Source organism: Homo sapiens, chromosome 19 (genome assembly GCF_000001405.40).
Source record: "Homo sapiens chromosome 19, GRCh38.p14 Primary Assembly".
In the NCBI taxonomy this organism is placed as follows: domain Eukaryota; kingdom Metazoa; phylum Chordata; class Mammalia; order Primates; family Hominidae; genus Homo; species Homo sapiens.
In genome coordinates this window covers 10,035,915-10,060,000 of record NC_000019.10, presented here as the reverse complement: position 1 = coordinate 10,060,000, position 24,086 = coordinate 10,035,915, and the positions used below count along the sequence as shown (strand labels likewise).

Genomic DNA, 24,086 nt, shown 5'->3' with positions numbered 1-24,086 from the left:
GCAGTGAGCCAAGATCGTGCCACTGCACTCCAGCCTGAGCAACAGAGCCAGACTCCGTCCCAAAAAAAAAAGTTTCTATTTTTTATTTTTTATTTTTTTATTTTTTTTTAATAGAGACAGAGTCTTGGTCTATTGCCCAGGCTGGAGTGCAGTGGGATGATCACAGCTCACTGCAGCCTTGGCTTTCTGGACTCAAGTGATCCTCCTGCCTCAGCCTCCCTACTAGCTGGGACTACAGGTGCGCACCACCACACCCAGCTAATTGCAAACTTTTTTTATAGATGGGGTCTCACTATGTTGCCCAGATTGGTCTCGAGCTCCTGGCCTCAAGAAATCCTCCTGTCTCAGACTCCCAAGTAGCTGGGATTACAGGCATGAGCCATCACACCTAGCAGGTATGTCTTTCCATCTTTCATCTCAGCCCTCCAACCTGTACTCCCCTCCCCTTGCCATCTCTCCCACCCACCTTGTGTGTTATCATCTCAGTGCTTGTCTCATTTTGGAATTATTATTATTATTTTGAGATAGAGCCTCCCTCTGTCACCCAGGGTGGAGTGCAGTGGTGTGATCTTGGCTCACTGCAACCTCTGCCTCCTGGCTTCAAGCGATTCTCCTGCCTCAGCCTCCCAAGTAGCTGGGATTACAGGCACCCACCACCACGCCCAGCTAATTTTTACATTTTTAATAGAGACGAGGTTTCACCATGTTGGCCAGGCTTGTTTCGAGCTCCTGACCAAGGGTGATCCACCTGCCTCGGCTTCCCAAAGTACTGGGATTACAGGCGTGAGCCGCTGCTCCAAGCCTCAGTTTGGAATTATATAGTGACCTTCTGATTGTCTCTTCCAAGGACGGTGGGACCCTTGAGGGCAGGGAACTTACCAGTGTTGCTCACCTTGGTCTCACAGGGTCTGAGCTCAGGAGGTGATACACAGTGGATGCTCAGGAAACACTAAGTGATGAATAACACATTGCTGGATTTGAGATCACCCCCTCCCCACTCCATGACTGAGGTTGATTAAGAAGCATCCCACACCCACTAGGGCTGGCAAAGCTGTCCAGGCAGTCGTTGGCTTGGGAGCTGTTGGCAAGGGCCAGTGCATAGGAGGCTATGGCTACGGCAAAGGTTGTCTGAATGTCGGGAAGTTTTCTCTCCAGGAAGCCACGGGCTCTCTCGATGCTGGCCATCAAATTCTAGAGGGCCAGAGGGAGGGGCCAGAGGGAGATGATCAGAGGAAAGAAGTCTGGGAGTTAGAGGGACCCAGAGGGATGTGAGGGTGGGGGAGCTTTCCAGATGCTGGGGCTAGAGGACCTTACAGATCCTGCCCTCCTCTCTGGGGTCCTACCTTCTGTCTGCACAACTCCTTTCCCTCATTCAGGGCTATTAGGACAAGAGCTGTGAGGGATACATCCTCCTCGGAGCCTTGGTAGCCATCCTGTGGATGCAGAGTTCCATCTGTGATTCCCTCAGCGTCTTGGAGATGCCTTCCTCAGCCTCTCCTGTCTGACCCTGAGAAGTTTCCAGGTACCCAGCTCTGGGCTGGATGATGGTGGAGGTGGGATGAAGACAGAGAGGAGAGGTTTGCCTCCCTGGGGTCTGCCCTACTAACAAAAGATATCGGCCAGGCGCAGTGGCTCATGCCTATAATCCCAGCACTTTGGGAGGCCGTGGCAGGAGGATCACCAGAGGTCAGGAGTTTGAGACCAGCCTGGCCAACATGGTGAAACCCTGTCCCTACAAAAATACAAAAATTAGCTGGGCATGATGTGGGTGCCTGTAAGCCCAGTTACTGGGGAGGCTGAGGCAGGAGAATCGCTTGAACCCGGGAAGCAGAAGTTGCAGTGAGCTGAGATCACACCGTTGCATTCCAGCCTGGACGACAGAGCGAGACTGTCTCAAAAACAACAAAACAAAACAAATAAACAAACAAAAAGCTATCAACACAAGAAGCTGAGCTCTGTAGACCATCTCAGAGCATTCTAGCAGCAGCCCCATTTTACTGATGAGAAAACAGAGGTCAGAGTGGCAAAGTCTTCCCATTGCTAGAAAATGGCCAACTCAGGGTCCAAACACCACTTTAGTACCCTGGCTTCCACCCTCTTCCCCTCTCTGGACTTGAATAGTGACCCCAAAATTCATGTTCACCTGGGACCTCAAGATGTGATCTTATTTGGAAATTGGGTCTTTGAGGATGTAATTAAAATTAAGAAAAGGTCATACTGGATTAGGGTGGACCCTAAGTCTAATAACTGGTGTCCTTATAAGGTCATGTCGGCTGGGCGTGGTGGCTCACGTCTGTAATCCCAGCACTTTGGGAGGCTGAGGCGGGTGGATCATGAGGTCAGGACATCGAGACCATCCTGGCTAACAGGATGAAGCCCCATCTCTACTAAAAATACAAAAAATTAGCTGGGCGTGGTGGCACAAGCCTGTAGTTCCAGCTACTCGGGAGGCTGAGGCAGAAGAATCGCTTGAACTTGGGAGGCGGAGGTTGCAGTGAGCTGAGATTGCATCACTGCACTCTAGCCTGGGCGACAGAGCAAGACTCTGTTTCAAAAAAAAAAAAAAAAAATCCGGGTGCTGTGGTTCACACCTGTAATCCCAGCACTTTGGGAGGCCAAGGGGCGGGGTTCCGGGGGGGTGGGGGGATGGATCACGAGGTCAGGAGTTCGAGACCAGCCTGGCCAATATGGTGAAACCCTGTCTCTACTAAAAATACAAAAAGTAGCTGGACATGGTGGCACTTGCCTGTAGTCCCAGTTACTCAGGAGGCTGAGGCAGAAGAATCGCTCAAACCCAGGAGGCGGAGGTTGCAGTGAGCTGAGATCGTGCTACTGTACTGCAGCCTGGGCGACAGAGCAAGACTCCGTCTCAAAAAAAAAGAAGATCATGTCAGTGCTAGGGGTGATGGCTCATGCCTGTAATCCCAGCACTTTGGGAGGCCAAGATGGGCAGATCACCTGAGGTCAGGAGTTCAAGACCAGCCTGGTCAACATGGTGAAACCCCATCTCTATTAAAACTACAAAAATTAGCCGGGCATGGTGGTGTGTGCCTGTAGTCCCAACTACTTGGGGAGCTGAGGCAGGAGAATCACTTGAACCCGGGAGGCAGAGGTTGCAGTGAGCCGAGATTGCGCCATTGCACTCCAGCCTGGGCAACAGAGCAAGACTCCATCTCAAAAAAAAAAAAAAAAAATTAGCCAGGAATGGTGGTGTGCATCTGTAGTCCCAGCCACTGAGGAGGCTAAGGCAGGGAGATCTCTTGAGCTCAGAAGTTTGAGGCTGTAATGAGCCATGATTAAGCTACTGCATTCCAGCCTGGGCGACAGAGCAAGATCCTGTCCCTAAAAATAATAACAATAGGCTGAACCCAGGAGGCAGAGGTTGCAGTGAGCCGAGATCATGCTACTGCACTCCAGCCGTGGCTCATGTCTGTAATCCCAGAACTTTGGGAGGCCGAGGTGGGCAGATCACTTGAGGCCAGGAGTTTGAGACCAGCCTGGACAACATGGTGAAACCCCAGCTACTAAAACAAAAATGTAAAAATTAGCTGGATGTGGTGGCAAATGCCTGTAATCTCAGCTACTCGGGTGGCTGAGGCATAAGAATCGCTTGAACCCAGGAGATGGAGGTTGCAGTAGTTGAGATCATGCCACTTCATTCCAGTCTGGGTGACAGAGTGGAACTCTGTCTCAAAATTAATAATAATAATAATTTGGCCTGGTGCATGCAGAGAGGGCAGCAAAAGCGCTTTTTGGAGGAGAGTTGGAGGAGCCCGTGAGTGGTTAAGTGTGAATAGTGAGAAGGGAGGGGTGAGGTGAGGCCTAGGAGGTGATACAGACAAAGATAGCTGTGAGCCACAGCAGGTGTTTGAACAGGGGAGAGACCTGCCAGGCTGCATTTGAAAGACATTTCTGGACGCTGGTGTGAGGGGACTCTTGGTGGGGATGGGTATGCAAGCTGGGGAGGACTCAGTTCCTGAGGGAGGAGGGCCAGGGCGAGCCACTGCTTGATGTGGGGATGAAGAAGAGATGGGTTCCCAGATATGCCCAGCCTCACCCACATTCTAACAGAGTATGAGGTGGTTCAGACCGGGGGGGATGTGATCCTTGGCGCTGAGCCTCAGCTCTTTCCTGTTCTCATTCTGCCCGAGAACAGATTGGGAGCCTGAAATCCCCCTCTTAGTGCACAGAGTCCCTCGGATTTGTTTGAATGGCCCAGGCAGGGAGGGCTGTGATCACCTGCATGGATGTCATGACCACAGGGCCCTTCTCCAGGAAGTGCCCATCCTCTGCCTGCCTGTCGATGATGATCCAGTTGGCCATGTCACAGAGAGAGGACAGGCTAAGCACTTGGGTCGTCATCATAGAGTAGGCCAGGGCAAAGACGCGGAACACATAGCTTGTGAGCCTGTCAGGAGAGGGCAAAAGTGACACCTGCGAACCGCAGTCAAGGGGGCTCTGGGATAGGGGAGTCTACACCATGGTCCACACCATTCCAGGTGGACCCCTGTCATTCGCCGCTGCCCAGGTCTGCCAGTGTAGAATGCCCCAGGGCCGTGCGCTGGACACCCCAAGACCCCATGACTCTACAGCGTGGGTGCTCCTGGGTCATCAGACCCCAGGCTGGACCCTTGGGCTTCCAGGGTGGCAGTGGCAGGAGAGATAGGGTCATCCTCACCAAGTGCTTCCTGGGTTCCCCTTGGAGGTGTGGTAGGTGCCGTCTGAACTCCGGTGGGTCAGCATCTGAGTGTAGCCTGGGGAAACAGAGCAGGGCTTTGAGGGACAGTCAGTGTTATCAGGAATAACCTGGCGGGCAGGGACTAGAGGTGACACGGGGGTGTCACACATACAGGTAATCTAGAAGGGGAGACCTGTTGTCCAGGTGTACTTTGGAGGGGTGTTTAGGGCCCAGATGTAAGTGAGGAGCAGGGCTCAGGAATGACTTTGAGGGACCCAGGATGCAGTTGTCTCTGGGTGTAACCCAGGAAACCTTCACCTCAGGGTCTCTGGAGCAGGGCATGCTACCCTTGGAGTTGCTGCTGGAAGAAATCATAGAAGGTGTTGTTGTCCACATGCAACCTGGGAGATGGGGCAACTTGAGGGGTGCTACGTGGGAGTTTTCTTTTATTTTTTTTTGAGACGGAGTCTTGCTCTATCGCCCAGGCTGGAGTGCAGTAGTGTGATCTCGGCTCACTGCAACCTCCGCCTCCCGGGTTCAAGCAATTTTCCAGCTTCAGCCTCCTGAGTAGCTGGGATTACAGGCATGCGTCACCACACCTGGCTAATTTTTGTATTTTTAGTAGAGACTGGGTTTCACCATGTTGGCCAGGGTGGTCTCTAACTCCTGACCTCAGGTGATCCACCTGCCTCGGTCTCCGAAAGTGCTGGGATTACAGGTGTGAGCCACCATGCCCGGCCCTCTTTTTATTTATTTTTATTTTTTTGAGACTGGGTCTCACTCTGTCACCCAGGCTGGAGTGCAGTGGTACAATCATAGCTCACTGAAGCCTCGCCCTTCCCTGGTCAAGCTATCCTCCCACCTCAGCCTCCCAAGTAGCTGGGACTACAGGCATGTGCCACCACACCAGGCTAATTTTTTTAGAGATGAAGTCTCACTATGTTGCCCGGGCTAGTCTCAAACTCTGGGGCTCAAGCAATCCTCCCATTCAGGCTCCTGAGTAGCTGAGACTGCAGGCGTGAACCACCATATCTAGCCAATTTTTAAATTTTTTGTACAGATGGGGGTCTCACTATGTTGCCCAGGCTGATCTCAAACTCCTGGGCTCAAGTGATCCTCCTGCCCTGGCCTCCCAAAGTGCTGGTATTACAGGCGTGAGCCACCACACCCAGCCTTTCAGGTGTATTCTGAGCCTCGCTACTCGGGTATTACTTGAAGTTCCCCTGGAGGTTTACTGTTTGCTTGGAGCATTGGGGTGACAGTATCTGGACATTACCTGTGGGATTACTGCTTGAGAAAACCTGGAGGGAAAGTTGGAGTCTGAGGGTAACCTGGGACCAATTAACTCAGAGGTCTATGGGTGTTACTAGGGGTGTTCATCTCTGGTTGCTCCCTAGGGTGTGTGGTTGTAACCTGGGGAAGTATCAGCATACAGGTGCAACCAAGAGCCCACTGCCTGGGGTTATTCTGGGGTTTGCTGCTTGGGTGTTCCCTAGGGTTCCCTGGGAGTGGCACTGAGGGGGTGTAACCTGGGGCAGGGCCTGAGTATAACATCCTCTCGCAGGATGGCTTTTTGGGAGAAATCAGGGTGTCTGTCATAAGACTGAAGCCTGGAGGTCTGGCGCGGTGGCTCACACCTGTAATCCCAGCACTTAGGGAGGCCAAGGCAGGTGGATCACCTGAGGTCAGGAGTTCTAGAGCAGCTTGGCCAACATGGCAAAACCCCATCTGTACTAAAAATCCAAAAATTAGCTGAGTGTGGTGGCGGGCACCTGTAATCCCAGCTACGCAGGAGGCTGAGGCAGGAGAATCACTTGAACTCAGGAGGCGGAGGTTGCAGTGAGCCGAAACTGTGCCACTACACTCCAGCTTGGGTGACAGAGTGAGAGTCCGTCTCAAAATAAATAAATAAATAAAAGTAAAAATACAAAAATTAGCCAGACATGGTGGCGGGCACCTGTAATCCCAGTTACTCGGGAGGCTGAGGCCGCAGAATGGCTTGAACCTGGGAGGCGGAGGTTGCGGTGAGCCAAGATCACACCAGTGCACTTCAGCCTGGGTGACAGAATGAAACTCCATTGCAAAAAAAAAAAAAAAAAAAAAAAGATTAAAGCCTGGGAAAGTGGTCAGGTGAAGAATTCCCATGGGTGTGTCACAGCTGGGGGATGACGTTGGGGAATTGGTATCAGGTTGTAGTCTGGGGAAGGAGTCATAGTTTGGGTGTTAATGCCTGAGGCGGGGGCTGGGGGGTCCCATGAAGATTTCCCCAATCCTGGGGGTGCCCCAGCCACCCTCCGGGAGATCCCCAGGCACCCTCTTGGAGGCCCCAGGAGGGTCCCCGCTCTCACCGCTGACAATATTCTTCATCACCTGGTCCCTGTGCTCCACCCCGACCTTGCCCCACTGGCCGGTGGTATCCAAATAGCGGGACAGGATGATGACGGGCGTCAGGGAGCTCAGCGTCTGCTCAGGGCAGCCCGTGGGGACCCGCAGCAGCTGCTGAATCTCACTGGGTGTCAGGCTGCCCACAATTGTCTCACCAAGGATGTCACCTGTCAGGTGGGTGAGTTGGGTCACCCTGGGAGTGGCCTATGCTTAAGCCACAGTGGTTTACTGATCGCCCCACACGGCTCCTCCTGCTCTGGTGCCTCACGGACCTTAGAGAACCCAGCGTCAGCCCTCCCCATGTCCCTGTGTCCCCCAGCACCTTGAACACTGATAAACACTTCCGCCTCCGTGTCGGGTACCATGTTCAAGAACTCCTGTCTTGGCACCAGTTTTGTCTGGGTCTGACCTGAATAACCACAACCTTCTGTGACAAGTGGGCTCTGGGGCTGGGGAAGTCAGGGTGCACAGAGCCCGGGGCTGGGGCTCAGAATCCCTATCTGAGCATATCCCCTCATGCCAACTGCTTCCTCCTCCCTAGCACAGCCCCAGGATCTCACAGGCCCCCTGCAGATCTCACAAACCTTGGGGTTCCAGGACGATGCTATAGGACGTTTGCTGGATCTGAACCCCTGCCTGAGGGATGAGATGAGGATATAAGTCAAAAGCAAAAACAGCAATCACAGTCAGAATGACAATCGCAGTGATGGTGAGAGGAGGCATTGCTTGGCTGTGATAAGCACAGACTCTGGAGCCCAAATACCTGGGTTCGAATCCCAGCTCTTCTGCTTCCTAGCTGTGTGTCCTTGGGAAAATTAGTTACCCTCTCTCTGCCTCAGTTTTCTCATATATCAAAGGGGGATAAGAATAGTCCCTCACTCATAGGGTTGTTTGGAGGGCTGAATTAGTTATTATTATTATTTTTTGAGATAGGGTCTCACTCTGTCACTCAGGCTGGAGGCAGTAGCACGATCTCAGCTCATTGCAGCCTCCACCTCCCAGGTTCAAGGGATTCTCATGCCTCAGCCTCCTGAGTAGCTGGAATTATAGGTGCACACCATCAAGACAGGCTAATTTTTGTATTTTTAGTAGAAATAGGGTTTTGCCATGTTGGCCAGGCTTGGACTCCTGGCCTCAAGTGATTCACCTGCTTCAGCCTCCCAAAGTGCTGAGATTATAGGCATGAGCCACCATGCCTGGCCTAGTTAATTTTTTTTCCAGAGAAAAAAAAACTTCAGGTTGCCCAGGCTGGACTCGAATTTCTAGGCTCAAATGATCCTCCCACCTCAGCCTCCCAAATAGCTGGGAATACCGGGGGGGGGGGGGGGGGGCGGGGTGCCACCACACCTGACTGAGTTAATATTTTTTTTTTTTTTGAGACCGAGTCTCGCTCTGTTGCCCAGGCTGGACTGCAGTGGCACTATCTCGGCTCACTGCAAGCTCCACCTCCCAGGTTCATGCCATTCTCCTGCCTCAGCCTCCTGAGTAGCTGGGACTACAGGCACCCGCCACCACGCTCAGCTAATTTTTTGTATTTTTAGTAGAGACGGGGTTTCAACATGTTAGCCAGGATGGTCTCGATCTCTTGACCTCATGATCCGCCCGCCTTGGCCTCCCAAAGTGCTGGGATTACAGGTGTGAGCCACCGCACCTGGCCCGAGTTAATATTCTTAAGCATTTATATCTTAAGTGTTAAACATGTGTTTGTTAAGCAAATAAAGTTTTTTGTTTGTTTTTTAGAGAGAGGGTCTTGCTCTGTTGCCCAGGCTGGAGTGCAGTGGCGTGATCTCAGCTTCAGGCTCAATCTCATGGGCTCAAGCAATCCTCCCTCAGCTTCCTGAGTAACTGCAACTACAGGTGCACAACACCATGTCAGGCTAATTTTTAATTTTTTTCTAGAGAGGTCTTGCTATATTGCCCAGGCTGATCTCAAACTCGTGGGCTCAAGCAATCTTCCTGCCTTGGCCTCCCAAAGTGCTGGGATTATAGGCATGAGCCACCAAGCCCAGTCTAATAAAATGTTTTTGATAGGCCATACACTGGTTCTGGGTCATTTTCCCAGCTCTATGTTTATTCAGGGATATGATGATTATCCTCATCCTGCAAGCAAGGAAATGGAGGCTCAGAACAGAGAAGTTAAGTAAGTTGCCCAAGGTCACACAGCAGAGACAAGATTAGAACCCAGGCCTGACTCCAAAACTCTCAAGTGGGGGCTTGTGACCTGACCCCCTCACATCAGTCCACTGACTAAACTTTTTTCTTCTTTTTTTCTTTTCTTTTCTTTCTTTCTTTTTTTTTTTTTTTTGAGACCGAGTCTCGCTCTGTTGCCCAGGCTAGAGTGCAGTGGTGCAATCTTGGCTCACTGCATCCTCCACCTCCCAGGTTTAAGCGATTCTCCTGCCTCAGCCTCCCGAGTAGCTGGGACTCCAGGTGTGCACCACCATGCCCAGCTAATTTTTGTATTTTTAGCAGAGTTGGAGTTTCACCATGTTGGCCAGGCTGGTCTCGAACTCCTACCCTCAGGTGATCCACCCACCTTGGTCTCCCAAACTGCTGAGATTACGGGCTTGAGCCACCATGCCCAGCCAACTGACTGAACTTTCAAATCTGTTCTTTCTCACCTCACTCCCATCTAGGAGCCTTGCTTATCGATCCTGGGCCCACCTGCCCAGCCTGGACCTGGTGGAAGCCCCGCTGTCTGCACCAGCAGCTAGTGAGTTGGGAGTGCCCATTACCCGGACCAAGAGTGTCTTCTTCACATGGTCCTGGACCCCGTAGCCCACAGCCTTGACCTCCACGTCCACTTTGCCTGTCTCCAGAGGGAGAAGCACAAAGTGTACTATCTTGGAGGAGGTGGGGGGCACGACCACTACCTGGTGGGATGGTGCTCCTGGCTTTGACGCACTGCACAGTGTCTCCTTGTGGGGGAACTCCACTCGGACCTAGGGCAGGATGGGCAAAGGGATGGGGTATCTATGTATGGTGTGGTCCAGGACCCTAGGGTCACAGTCCCCTCCCCACCCTGAGATGCCTGCGTAGGTGACAGCAAAGCCTAGTGATGAGGACCACAGACCCAGCCTGAGTCAGAGCCCCATCTGCCATTTATGTGCTGTGTGACTCCAGGCAAGCCCTTTAACCTCTCTGTGCCTCAATTTCCTCATCTGTAAACCAAGAACAATAATAGTACCCATCTGATGGGGTTGTTGTGAGGTTTAACTTCCCTTCCTTCCTTCCTTCCTTCCTCTCTCCCTCCCTCCCTCCTTCCTTCTTCTTTCTTTCTTTCTTTCTCTCTCTCTTTCTCTTTCTTTCTTTCTTTCTTTTTCTCTCTCTCTCTCTCTCTCTCCCCCCCTTCTTTCTCTTCTTTCTTTCTTCCTCTGTCTTTCTCTCTTTCTTTCTTTCTTTTTTTTTTTGATGGAGTTTCGCACTGTCGCCCAGGCTGGAGTGCAGTGGTGGGATCTCAGCTCACTGCAAGCTCCACCTCCTGGGTTCATGCCATTCTCCTGCCTCAGCCTCCCGGATAGCTGGGACTACAGGAGCCCGCCACCATGCCCGGCTAATTTTTTTTTTTTTTTTTTGAGATGGAGTCTCGCACTCTCGCCCAGGCTGGAGTGCAGTGGCGCAATCTCGGCTCACTGCAAGTTCTGCCTCCCGGGTTCACACCATTCTCCTGCCCTCAGCCTCCTGAGTAGCTGGGACTACAGGCGCCCGCCACCACGCCCGGCTAATTTTTTGTATTTTTTAGTAGAGGCGGGGTTTCACCGTGTTAGCCAGGATGGTCTTGATCTCCTGACCTTGTGATCCGCTCACCTCGGCCTCCCAAAGTGCTGGGATTACAGGCGTGAGCCATCGCGCCCAGCCAAATTTTTTATTTTTATTAGAGATGGAGTTTCACCGTGTTAGCCAGGATGGTCTCGATCTCCTGACCTCATGATCTGCCCGCCTCAGCCTCCCAAAGTGCTGGGATTACAGGCATGAACCACCATGCCCGGCCCCCTTTTCTCCTTTTCCGTCCTTCCTTCCTTCCTTCCTTCCTTCCTTCCTTCCTTTCTTTCTTTCATTCATTCTTTCTTTCTTCTTCCTTCTTTCTTTCTTTTTCTTTCTTTTTCTTTCTCTTTCTCTTTCTTCTTTCTTTTTCTTTCTTCTTTCTCTTTCTTTCTTTCTCTCTTTCTCCCTCCCTCCCTCTCTCTCTTTCTTTCTTTCCTTCTTTCTTTCTTTCCTCCTCCTCCTCCTTCTTCCTCTTCTTCTTCCTCTTCCTCTTCCTCCTCCTCCTCCTCCTCCTCCTCCTCCTCTTCTTCTTCTTCTTCTTCTTCTTCTTCTTCTTCTTCTTCTTCTTCTTCTTTTCTCTCTCTCTCTCTCTCTCTCTCTCTCTCTCCCTTTCTCTCTTTCTTTCTTGGTCTCACTCTGTCACCCAGGCTGGAGTGCAGTGGTCCAAATACAACTCAGTGCAGCCTCAAACTGCTGGGTTCAATCGATCCTCCTGCTTTAGCTTCCTGAGCAGCTGGCACCACAGGTGCATGCCATCAAGCCTGGCTAATTTTTTTAAGATCATTTTTTGTAGAGACAAGGTCTCACTTTGTCACCCAGGCTGGAGTGCAGTGGTGCAATCACAGCTTACTGCAGCGTTGACCTACTGGGCTCAAGAGATCCTCCCACCTCAGCCTCTCAAGTAGCTGAAACTGCAGGTGTGCAGCACTATGCCTGGCTAAATAAGAGAATACCTTAGATTTTCCAAAAGAGCCACCACTTCACTGACCGATAGGAATAAAAATACACTGAATTTCCTTTTCTAAAACACACTAACAGGCTGGACACGGTGGCTCACACCTGTAATCCTAACACTTTGGGAGGCTGAGGAGGGTGGATTACTTGAGCTTAGGAGTTTGAGACCAGCCTGGGCAACATGGCAAAATCCTGTCTCTAACCAAAATACTAAAAATTAGCCAGGCATGGTGGCCCACACCTGTGATCCCAGCTACTGGGGAAGCTGAGGCACGAGAATTGCTTGCACCTGTGAGGTGAGATTGCAGCAAGCCGAGATCACGTCACTGCACTCCAGCCTGGGTGACAAGGCAAGATTCTGTTTCCAAAAATAAAATAAAATATGCTGGGTGCGGTGGCTCACGCCTGTAATCCCAGCACTTTGGGAGGCTGAGGCGGGTGGATCACTTGAGGTTAGGAGTTTGAGACCAGCCTGGCCAACATGGTGAAACCCCATCTCTACTAAAAATACAAAACTTAGCCAGGCATGGTGGCAGGGCGCCTGTAGTCCCAGCTACTCAGGAAGCTGAGGTAGGAGAATCGCTTGAACCCAGGAGGCAGAGGTTGCAGTGAGCCGAAATCGTGCCACTGCACTCCAGCCTGGGTGACAGAGCAAACTCTGTCTCAAAAAATAAATAAAATGAAATAAAGCCATTAAAAAATAAAATGAAATACACACTAGCAGAGGTTTTGGCAGGAAGTTGAGGGCTTGGGGCTTCACCTTGGCCTGGCGATCCCTGAAATTGTACAACATGGCTTGGATCTGGACCTGCTCATTCCTGATCACGGAGGAGGGCAACTTAAGGTCCACAAAGAACGATTTCATAACTGTCAGCTCAAAGGGGTCCGAGACACAGAGACCTACAGCCAGGAGAGCACATTGGGTTTAAGCAGAGGCTCCGTTGGGGGAGGGGCTGGGTAAGGTCACCATACCCCCATTCCCTTGGCACTGGGCTTGCTGCGGCTCACCTTGTCCAGCCTTGAGGCTGACCACCACAAACTGCCACGTGGTGATGGAATCTGGCACCTTCACAGAGATGGGGTAATGGGAGATGCTGTTGTGAGTGAGAAAACATCACTGAGTTTGTGCTGGATAGAGCTTCTGGATTTGGGGTCACCATGCAGGGGTTATGGTCACTATTGAGGATCATCAGATCACCTCATTAGTGACAGCCTCACTAGAGGGTCATCCTTTTAGGGAATCCATTAAGATGTTTTCCCAATTATGGGACTGTCCTGAGGCTCGATGTCACTGCTGGGGTCATTGTCCCTGACCAGCATCCACTGATGATTGCAAGGACCTGGGACCAGATTCTGGTATGGAGGCTGATGTCTTACCCCGATTTACTCTTTGGCAGAGTGAACTTCCTCCAGAGCCAACTCTCGGGGAACAAGGTCCGCACAGGCATGTCATCCAAGAAGAGGTCATCGAAGTCCTCTTCTTCATCCGCTGGAGGGAGCAGGTGTGAGGTGGAGTCTCCTTCATGTTTCTTCCATGTTCCATCAGACTCCTTGTGGAGTCCTCCTTTCCAACCCTCCATGGCCCATATCACCCCTTAACCTGTCCCATGTCACTCTATATCCCTCCATGAAGCCCCCCACCCTGCATCTCCTGCCATAGCCCCCTCACTTGTCCACAGATGCAATTGATCCTCTCGAGCCTCCCGAGTCAGGGTCTCAGACAGATGGCAGCAGTCCAGGAAAGCAGCCACACAGGCTGGACCATGGCGGACATGCCAGGTCCTCTCCTCACAAGACAGCCCCACTGGGCTCTCCCGGAGCCCAGCCTCACAGCACTTTTGCTCCAGCTCTGTCTTAAACTTGTTCACTGTGGGCCAGAGTCAGAGGGAAAGAGGAGGGTTGGGCAGGACCTAAGAAGCTGGGACCCATTCACCTTGATGCTATGCACACCTTGCCACTATTTAGCAATTACTCTGTGGTAGATTCTATGCCTAGTGCCTTATCTGTGCCCTTTCTGAAGCCTCATATTGAACTCACATGGTGAGATTCTGACAAGGAAGCTGAGCCACAGAGACGTGAATTCATTTGCTTAGAGTCAAGGCTCCCAAGTGGCAGAGGTGGAACCAGAATCCATACTGCATTTTTTTTTTTTTGAGATGGAGTCTCATGCTGTCACCCAGGCTGGAGTGCAGTGGCGCAATCTTGGCTCACTGCAACCTCTGCCTCTCAGGTTCAAGCGATTCTCATGCCTCAGCCTCCCATGTAGCTGGGATTACAGGTTCCCACCACCACAGCCAGCTAATGTTTGTATTTTTAGTAGAGACAAGGTTTCACCATGTTGGCCAGGCTGGTCTTGAACTCCTGACCTCAAATGATCCACCTGCCTTGGCCTCCCAAAGTGCTGGGTTTACAGGCATGAGCCACCATGCCAGCCTCAGAATCCATGCTTCTAACACCTGGTGCTGCCTCCCATCTTCCTCTGACTCCAGGCTCAAAGCCTTTTCTTCTGGTCCACATTCTAGCCTTCAGGATGGCAGTTTAGTCAGATATTGTCCAATGACACTCAAGACCTATCTCTCCTTTTGTCTACATTCCATCCTGAACCACAGAGGCTAGACATCTGAAAACTACATTTCCCAGACTCCCTTGCTGCTAGGGTTCTGAATGGGATTAGATGCAGCCACTGAGATGCTTTTATGAGAGATCTGGGAGATAGAAGAGAAGCAGAAACCATTTTTCCTGCAGCAGTGGTAGCTGATGGGTGGGCTCTAGTCTATGTGTGTTTTTGTAATGGGCATGATTTCGTGTTTGATTATCAACCTACCAGCCCTTTGAGAGATATTGGCAGCAGTTTCCTGATATTTCATGGATTGCAAGACTGAAGTGGGTGATCTTGAGTCCCAGCAAGCAGCCTTCCAACTTCCACCCCAAAAGCCCATCTAATGATTTTGTAAGCACCAAACTCCCCCTATTAGATCCCTCCCTGCTGGAAATACATTGAGTGGTTTTGGTGTCCTGTTCTAAGCCCTGATGGATACCTTAAGTTGGGGAGATGGAGGGAGACATACAGCTTTAACACTGACCTGCATTCCTTTTTGTCTCCAGCCTCTTCAGGGAGCGGCGATGGCGGCTGGGAGGAGGGTCCTGGGGGCAGGGCTAGTCTGGGGGTCAGAGGGAATGATGATAGAACAACCGCCAAGATCATTATCAATATCCTTGATGATGTTTATTGGGTGTTTGCTGTATGTCCAGCACTTTATATGCATCACTTCATTTCATCTGACAGCCTCCTATATTCAAGACTTGTCACTTAAAAGCTGGGCGATTTTCAATAAGTCACTTAACCTCTCTGGGTGTTAATTTCCCCAGTGACGTAAAATGGGCATAATCATAGTTCTATCAATGAGATAATGCATATACAAATACTTAGCACTGGACCTGGCATGTAATAAATAAGAACTATTATTAATATTACAATTTATAGCTGAGAGAATACACTCTTAGTTGTCTCCAAATCCATTATCATCCCTCATCTGTGACAAGTAAGCCTCCATATTGTATAGATCACACAGAATAAAGACTACATTTCCCAGCCTCTCTTGCACTTAGGTGGGGCCATGTGACTATATTCTGGCCAATGAGATGTGGAAGAAGTGTCCTCCCCTTTCCACTTCCCTTCATCTTGCTGCCTGGCATGGATGGACTCCTAGAAGGAGTCCGAGTCCCAGGATGACCTCTGTAGTGTTACTGAATGAGAAATAAACTACCTGTTTGACCTACTGTTATTTGTATATTTGATACACATGGCTAACCCTGTCTTAACCAACACACTGTGAGTTACTTCTATTATTATCTCTATTTTATGGACAAAGAAATCAAGACTCAGAGAGAAATGTGACTGGCCCATGGTAAGTGACAGGATGTGGATTACAGCCCATATCTGTTTGACACTAAAACCAAGTAGGCAGCACTGCACCCATTTCTGCCCTCCTCTTGCCCCAACCCCCAAAGCCTGTGCCTGAGCTTGCCAGGCTATCCATTCCTGTGCTGATTTTCAGGTCCAATCCAGCATCCTTGAACACAGCAAATCTGTCTTTCCCACTTCCTCCTGTGCAGCCAATGTCATGTTCCTCCACCACATTCCAGACCTAGAGGTCAAGACAGGAACCTGGATTTGGGACCTGTATGACTCCTCCATGAAAGGAGAAATGGTGTACTGGAATTGCAGGCTCAAATCATAATTCTCATACTATCTCCCATTTTTTGAGCTCTTATCACCTTTCAGTCATTAGACTTTGCACCATCTCCTTGAATCCTTACATTGATGTTGTCCTCTTTATGGCTGAAGAAGCTGAGGCTCCAGCTAGAATATCCTGGCAACATCTTGGCCCAAAGCCCACATGCTCTTACCTTCTTCTGAGTGAGCTTGTGTTTGCTGTTCAAGACATAGACAGCCTTGTCCACAGCCACCAGCCCCACTGTGGCTTCTGCATCACCTGTCACCTTCAGTTCGACTTGGCTGTTGGGCTCCAAAGACTGGAAGAATCTATCATTCTTCAAGCCAACTTTCAGCTGAGCCAAGAAAAAGAGAGATGTCAGAAAAAGGGAATCATAGACCACACAACTACACTTTCAGGCTTACGTTCCCTACTGCTCTGGTGGAGCATCTGGGAACTCCACTAGGCTAATCCCAACTCCGTATATTTATTTACTTGCATCACCGCCACACCTTGTGTTGAGCTCTTAAGGCCACATATTCTCCTTCTCTTCCCTGGCTTCTAGTTTGGGAATGCCTAAACTTGTACAGCCCCTTTCTGGGGCTTTATGATGGTGATGCACAACTACAAGGAGTTTGGCTTACCATCCCTATGCATCTGTCATTCACATCAATCCATATGGAATCAGCCACCAACTCAGGGTCTTGGCTTGCTCCTCTGGGAAGTAAATAAAAGGCCAGAATGCGGAAGGAGGGCAGCATCGCTGAAGTCACATCAATAATGGCTGATGTGTAGACACTCCCCTGGCTTTTTGACTGATGTTTGGCACTCACGGTCTGGCCCTTACTCAGGACCTTGAAGACAAGGGAGGTCAAGGATGAGAAGGGAGGGCCAGTCTTTCTCTGAATCTGTCCCATCCCACAATGGAGGCTCATAGTCTCTTTTCTTCAGCCTCTAGATCTGAGCCCACTCAAGATTGTTGCCACCTTCACATCTTTTTTCATAGTTTCTCCAACTCAGCAAGCCAAGGTTTTTCCAAGGAAAGAATTCCTTGACTCAGACCCTGGTCCTAGCTCCTCACCAGGATGGTGAAGTGAGTAATCTTGTCCTTGGTTTTAGGGTCCTGATGCCTTGTGTTGAGGCTCAGCTGGATGCTGCTGCCAACCTCTGTGCCCAATGTCTTTACTTCGATGTGTAGGAAGTTTCCTGACCCATCCTGAGTCAAGTAAGGCCAAGCTGTCATCTTGGCTGAAGCCTGCTCCTCTGGCTGAAGAGATTCCTCAGTTTTCACCTAGGGAGGATGATGGGCAAGTAAACCCCAACCCTTCCAACTCACACAGCTCTAATCCCACCCTCCTTGCCTTGTCAAGTTGGTACCTCGATGGGGAGCTTGTCCAGATTTGCATCTGTGTTGATGGTCAGAGTGGCCAACCCCTCAGCTGAGGTGTACACTTTTTGGTCTTGGGAGTGGACAAGGACTCTGGAAGCTGGGGACCCATCAGGATTTGAGATGAAGACCTGAGGTGGAATCTGGGGTAAGGTGAAGGAAAAGCCTGCAGTGGCCTGGTGTGAGAGGTGAGACTGGAATATGATCTGAATAGGACTGCTTTGTACAACTTTATACATGGTGCACTAAACAACACCGGGGGCACCATTCATATTGGAGTTTTTATGAATGGCACCTCCTAGAGCTTTGCAGTGTACAACCACATGTGGTTATCCTGGGTGTTGCAGAGCTGATGGTGAGTGGGAAGACTGAGAGTGGAGAGGGAAGGAGGACACATGAGAGCCTATAGGAGACTTGGAGTAGGATTGGTGCCAAAGGATATCCCTGACTTTCCTAATGCCCATCCAAATTAATATATGTGAAAAGGCCATGCTTTGATGTGCAAATGCAGCCTCTAGATAAACTTTCAAACACCAACTTCCAGCCTGATTGTGGCCTCTAAGTCCCCACAGAGAAATTCTGGAGCCATCACTGTGCTTTAGGGTTAAGGTTTGGGGGGACTCTGGGATTAGTCTGGGGAACATGATAGACTCAACCTTCAGATGAGTTGGATGCAGGTGAGTCCAGTGTGGGTTTTTGTCTCTTTGTGGGAAGTCTGCTTTGGGGAGGGGGCCCTGAGTCCCTGGGTGTAGTGAGTCCAGACTCTGACCCGAAAGTGGAAGGGCATTCCTGGCTTGAAATACTGGGGTGTCCTGGTGAACTTGATGTTGTATGGGCTCTGGATGATCTTCACCCCTGAGGTCTCAGCTTGCACCATCTCACCCCCTGTAGAGACAGTGAGAACACAGAGTTTGTGAGGGAGTTCAATTTCTTAAGTGAGTGGCAGGACTAGTATGAGAGCCCCATCTTGGTGAAGGCAGAGAACGACAATAACACTATTTCAGCTCCTTCCACCCATTTCTCTAATGAGGAAACTGAGGCTGGGAGGTGGCCCAAGGTCACATGGGTGGAGTGTCTGCATTGGGCAAGAACACCATGTCCTGACCTCAGTCAGGGGCCGGGGTGAGGGTGGCACCTGAGGAGAACATGGTGACATTGACAAAGATTGAGCCTCCAATGAAGTCCTCTCCTGGGCCTTGGAATGCGGCCATGAGCGTGTCCTTCTGGAGGGAGACGTGGCCCAGGCCTTCAGAGATCTGTTCTTAGGGTAAGATAGAGGAGAGGATATGGTTTTTTGGGGAGCGTTAGAGAGTGGAGTGGATTGGAGGTTGGGGAGGAGCTGGGATTCAGTCACCTCCACCCTCTGCAGGGAGCTTTGGATAGGGATCCGGCAGGAGTCCAATTTCACCCCAAAGATGACCAAAGCATGTCCGTCCACTGGCTTGTTAAATATATACGTGGGGGATGGAGGACAATTCCACTGTCTCTGAAGCACCCACATACCTCATGCTGCTTCAGAGATGGCTGTGCAAAATTGGGAGGGGCAGAGGTGGCCCTTGGAAACTTAGATGGTTTCATTGATGACCCACACAACTCTGGGAGGTGACGAATATATCCCATAAAGCCTTGATGGGTTGCAGATGTGGTCTAGGCAATCTCTCAAGATGGTGGAGGTGGACTTCAAACTATATAAAGCCACAAAGAAGTCTGGGCAACCTATGAAGTGGCCTGTGCAGCCTCACCAGGGAAACTAGGTGGCCTGTGTAGCATGTTAGAGCTGCAGGAATGATTCATATAATGTCCAGAAGTGGCAGACATAGCCCATACAATCTCAGGTGGACAGCATTGCCTGCACAACCTCATAGCAATGCAGATGGTCTGTAAAACACAAGGCAGCAAATGTGTCATTTACCATCACATAGAGCTGCAGAGATGGTCTGGACAATCTCATGATGGCAAACATAACCTGTACTACCTCATAGACTTTCAGAGATGGTCTAAACTGTGAAGTGGCAGATGAGATGAGATGCAGTACAACACCACTGGGTAGACAAGGTGGCCTGTACAACTTCATAGACTTGAAGAAATGGTTTATACAACCTCACAGGTGGCAGACATGGTCTGTACAACCTCACAGGACAACATAGGTAGCCCAGAATATCTCATGGGTGGGAGAAGAGTATGTCTACCACCCTAAATGCTACAGAAGTGGCTTGCTTCTCTCTTTCTCTTTTTTGAGATGGGGTCTCACTCTGTCACCCAGGCTGCAGTGCAGTGGCACAATCTTGGCTCACTGCAACCTCTACCTCCTGGGTTCAAGCGATCCTCCCACCTCAGCCTTCCTAGTAACTGGGACAACAGGCATGTGCCACCACTCCTGGCTATTTTTTTTTTTTTTTGAGACAGAGTCTCACTCTGTCACCCAGGCTAGAGTGCAGTGACACAATCTCGGCTCACTGCAACCTCCGCCTCCTGGGTTCAAGCGATTCTCCCACCTCAGTAGTCCCTGAGTACCTGGGACTACAGGCATGCACCAACATGCCTGGCTATTTTTGTCTTTTTAGTAGAGACAGGGTTTTGCCATGTTGGCCAGGCTGGTCTTGAACTCCTGACCTCAGGCGATCCACCCACCTCAACCTCCCAAAGTGCTGGGATTACAGGTGTGAGCCACCATGCCCAGCCAGCTTGGCTAATTTTTTTTTTTTTTTTGGTAGAGAAGGGGTTTTGCCATGTTGTCCAGGCTGGTCTAGAACTCCTGGCCTCAAGTGATCCTCCTGCCTTGGTCTCCCAAAGCACTGGGATTACAGATGTGAGCCATAGCACCTGGTGCTTGTTTCTCTGTACTCAATCTTTGTGTCCCTGGTCTTCTGGCAGAGCTGGGAGGAAGGGGGCTCACCGAGCCTGGATGTCAACGCCCAGAGCCTCATCCTTGAGGTAAAAGAAAGTCTTATTTGGGACCAGCTGGACCTCAAAAGATGGGAGGACTGGGAGAAAAAAAAAAGCCATGGTCACCCTCAGTATTCTACCTGCTCCCTCGTCCCCTCCCAGTCCTGCTCCTTCCTTGGTGGCTCTGTCAAGCCCGAAGGGCTGCAACACCAGCACCCAACACTTAGCATCCAGCTCAGGCCCTGGGTTACAGCAGAGGTTCCCCTTGAGACCTCCTTTCTATTCCAAGTCCTGTCCCTGGCGTATTCATCTTGCTCACCCCACCCACACCTTTCTCACCATATTCCTTCACATCAAAGGCAGCCTCGAACTTCTGCTTGGGTGTACTTTGGTAGCTGGCTTCGATGGTCCAGGTCCCCAAACTGAGGCACAGAAAGTTAAGAGAGATGGAGACAGAGAATGACAGCCTCCTTTGCCACCCCTCGGGCTCCCAGACCTGACAAGGGCACCTGACAAGCTCTGGGAGGTGAAAGGAGCTGAAAAAGAAGCCATCCTTGGCCATCAGACTCTGGCTAATCACGGTGATTCCCTTTGGGTTCTGTGGGGATAGGGGGTGGGGCTGGTGACTGCCCTCTGGGAGGGCCCTGGTGGCTCATGCCCCCAGGACTTCAGCACACCATGTAACCCCAGTGTCCAGGATCCACCACCACCCCCCACCCCTCATCGGGAAAGACCACCTTGATGTCCAGAGTGAATGTCCTGGTCACAGGGTCCATCTTGTGGTTCACAGTGAACACCCGGTAGTGAACTAGGGGAGAAGGAGGACTCTGAGTATTGGGTAGAGGAAGGGAAAGAGAGAGAGAGAGTTTGCATCTTGGGCAGTGGCGGGGTGGGGGGCACTTATGCATAGAGAGAGATCTTGGGAGGTGGAGAAGATTTTAGGGGATGGGAGTATCTCAGACATTGGGAGAGACGGGATGAGAGCCAGTGATTGCCCCGAGCCAAGTGCCTCGGGGCTGTACCCAAGTACTCAGGGGTGTAGATGGTCTTCTCCGTCTGGATAAAGATGTAGCCAGCATGAAGAGCCACCAGCACCATCTTCTCCATGAATGAGGAGCCCGAGGTGGGTGCCCAAGTTGCCCGGATGATGACATATTGCTGCCCTGGTTTTGGGAGGTACATCAGGCTCTCGGGAACCTGAGAGAGATATATATCCATACTCCTCAGGCTCTGCTGGGGTCTCCCTGGCTGGGGGTAAAGCCCTGGGACAGATCCTGGGAGGAGCAATTGACTGAGGGTCTTCTGACTCTGCCTTTGGGAGCTAGGTTGCCATGTGCAGTTGTGTAGGTTGCTCACTGCACAAGAGCACCCAGCCAAAGGAAGGACGAAATCAAGTCCATGCTCATCTTCCCAAGCTACCAACAGAAGGCACCTTTTATAGTTCTCAGAGAGGCATCAAATGGGCTAGTGGAGGCTTCCTGGAGCCCAGGCTTAGGGACTTTTGGCTTCTAAATGCACAGGATATTAGAGGAGTGGTAAGTACTTTGGGCCCTTTATCTACTCTCTGGACAGAAAGTCTGCCCCTTTCTACCTTTATTGCTGACCTGTAGCCTCCCTTTGGGGTCACACATTCCAGCCTGTCACCCACCGTCACAGGTGCCTGGTCCATAAAGTTGTTTCCTGGTGAGAGAATGAGCTGGCTCCTTGCCAACACTGTCTTCCTCATGGGGAAGTCCCACACTGTGAGGTTCACCTTGAGGGTCCTTGTGAGGGGCTGTCTGGAGTCTGAGTGGGCCTGAATGTGAATGCTCTCCGGACTGCCAACCCTCAGAACTCGGGGGGTCACCAGGATGTACCTGCCAGTAGACTAACACAAGGGCATTAAGGGACTTGAGTAGGGAAAATGACACCGAACACGAGTCATAAGCTGGAATCACGCAGACATCAGATGTGCAGGAAGCCGGCTGAGCCCCCTCCATTCCCCAGACTCACAGAGGCTCAGCGTGGATGAGGGGGCTTCCCAAAAGAAGCAGAATCCACCCTAGGGGCCAGGGCATTTCCATGGTGGGTGGGAGGGTGACAGGAGGCCACAGGCTGCAGATGTCTGTCCTCTTGTCTGTCCTCTTGTCTGCCCTGGCCCTGGCCTGTTTGCCTTGACTTGTAGTGGCTGAGTTAATATCTAAACAGGTGTGGGGCAAGAATCCCTATAAATCCAATGGGGCGGAGTTGGGGGTGTTTCTTACTTCCCAGCCAAGCCTCCAAGATATGCTTGAGAAGTGCCCCATCCGCTTCCTTGGGGGCCAGAGTGGTAGGAGAACTGCCTGTCCCATGAGCCATGAGGGTCTTATCCACGCCCCTCTCCCCTTTTTTTCTGAGACAGAGTCTGGCTCTGTCACCCAGGCTGGAGTGCAATGGCACAATGTCAGCTCACTGTAACCTCTGTCTCCCACGTTCAAGTAATTCTCATGCCTCAGTCTCCCAAGTAGCGGGGATTACACGCATGGGCCAGCAAGCTCATTTTGTACTTAGTACAAAAATACTAATTTTTGTATTTTTAATAGAGACAGGGTTTCACCACGTTGGCCAGGCTGGTCTCGAACTCCTGACCTCAAGTGATCCACCCGCCTCAACCTCCCAAAGTGCTGGGATTACGGGCATGAGCCACTGTGCCTGGCCATGAAGGTCATATCCTAAAGCCTTCCCCTCCGCCAGCAAGGAGCTTTGCACACCCAGGACACTGAACTCAGGGCTTGCTTGGGATTGGCTGGCAGGAGGAGAGCAAACATCTTTCTACCCTAGCCTGGATGGATTTTCCCTACTTTTGCCTTTGTGAAATTGGCAAAACAGGGCAGCTGCACAAACAGGGGAGGTGCTGGCATTTTTTCCCTATTTCCCAATTCCGGGAGTGAGCAGCATGTGGCATTTGACCATCTGACTCCAGGATCCACCATAACGAAACCTCCTGAGAAATCCATAGGTCAAAGTCCTCTTCTTGGGCTTCAAATCCTTGCGCTATATGGATTTCGTCATCCTTGCAGGAGACAGTTATGCTTAGTAAATTGTGACCATTGTCTATTGTTTCCTAAGTCATGCCAGAGTCTCTGGGTTCCTTTTCCAGAAGGCAAATTATACATATTAAACCAGGGAAGGAAACACATCATGCTTGAAGCATTCCTGGAAAAAGGCTTTCTCTGTCCTCAAATAATTCTCAATGTTTAGCAGGCTTATTAAAGAGAATGTTGAGACGGCTTTGTGGTGTCTGCCTCTAAGAAGCAGTTGGGCTTGATGATGAGTCTGTTTGAATCTGCACCCTACAGTGATGTCAATTCAGCCAGCTTGGGAAATTTTGCCTATTGAAGGGTCCCTGATCCCCCCATCAAATGATAATATAATTTTCTTTTTCTTTAAAGATGGATCTCACTCTGTTGCCCAGGCTGTAGTGCAGTGGTGCGATCTTGGTTCACTGCAACCTTTGCCTCTCAGGTTCAAGCCATCTCCCGCCACAGCCTCCTGAGTATCTGGGATTACAGGCGTGCACCACCACATCCGGCTAATTTTTTGTATTTTTAGTAGAGACGCAGTTTCACCATGTTGGCCAGGCTGGTCTCAAACGCCTGACCTCATGATCCGCCCACTTCTGCCTCCCAAAGTACTGGGATTACAGGCATGAGCCACTGCATCCAGCAGATAATATACATTTATCCGGCAAAGATTCATCAAGCATTTACTTTGACCCTGGCCCCTACTTAGCATACTGGGGACACAGCAGTGAACATGACAGACAAAATCCCTTCCTGTGTGGTGTGGACATTTA

At 50.7% G+C, this 24,086-nt stretch overlaps 1 non-coding gene and 1 pseudogene across 2 annotated transcripts in view; both read right to left on the bottom strand.

The window, feature by feature from the left end:
• Nucleotides 1–18,645, bottom strand: part of C3P1 (complement component 3 precursor pseudogene) — a 32,783-nt pseudogene extending 14,138 nt beyond the window's left edge. Inside the window, exons 1-18 of the transcript NR_027300.2 lie at nt 18,522–18,645; nt 18,156–18,271; nt 17,377–17,517; nt 17,081–17,290; nt 16,644–16,853; nt 16,193–16,354; nt 14,866–14,943; nt 13,452–13,649; nt 13,160–13,271; nt 12,791–12,876; nt 12,543–12,682; nt 9,937–10,005; nt 7,648–7,699; nt 7,386–7,472; nt 4,679–4,754; nt 4,240–4,408; nt 1,344–1,433; nt 893–1,191 (exon numbers count right to left, since the gene is read on the bottom strand). The product of NR_027300.2 is annotated as a complement component 3 precursor pseudogene (transcript). The remainder of the gene's footprint in view (nt 1–892; nt 1,192–1,343; nt 1,434–4,239; nt 4,409–4,678; nt 4,755–7,385; nt 7,473–7,647; nt 7,700–9,936; nt 10,006–12,542; nt 12,683–12,790; nt 12,877–13,159; nt 13,272–13,451; nt 13,650–14,865; nt 14,944–16,192; nt 16,355–16,643; nt 16,854–17,080; nt 17,291–17,376; nt 17,518–18,155; nt 18,272–18,521) is intronic.
• A 2,942-nt stretch (nt 18,646–21,587) lies between these two features.
• Nucleotides 21,588–21,647, bottom strand: MIR5589 (microRNA 5589). Its single transcript, NR_049855.1, has one exon. It is a non-coding gene; the product is annotated as a microRNA 5589 (primary transcript).
• Nucleotides 21,648–24,086: the final 2,439 nt, after the last annotated feature.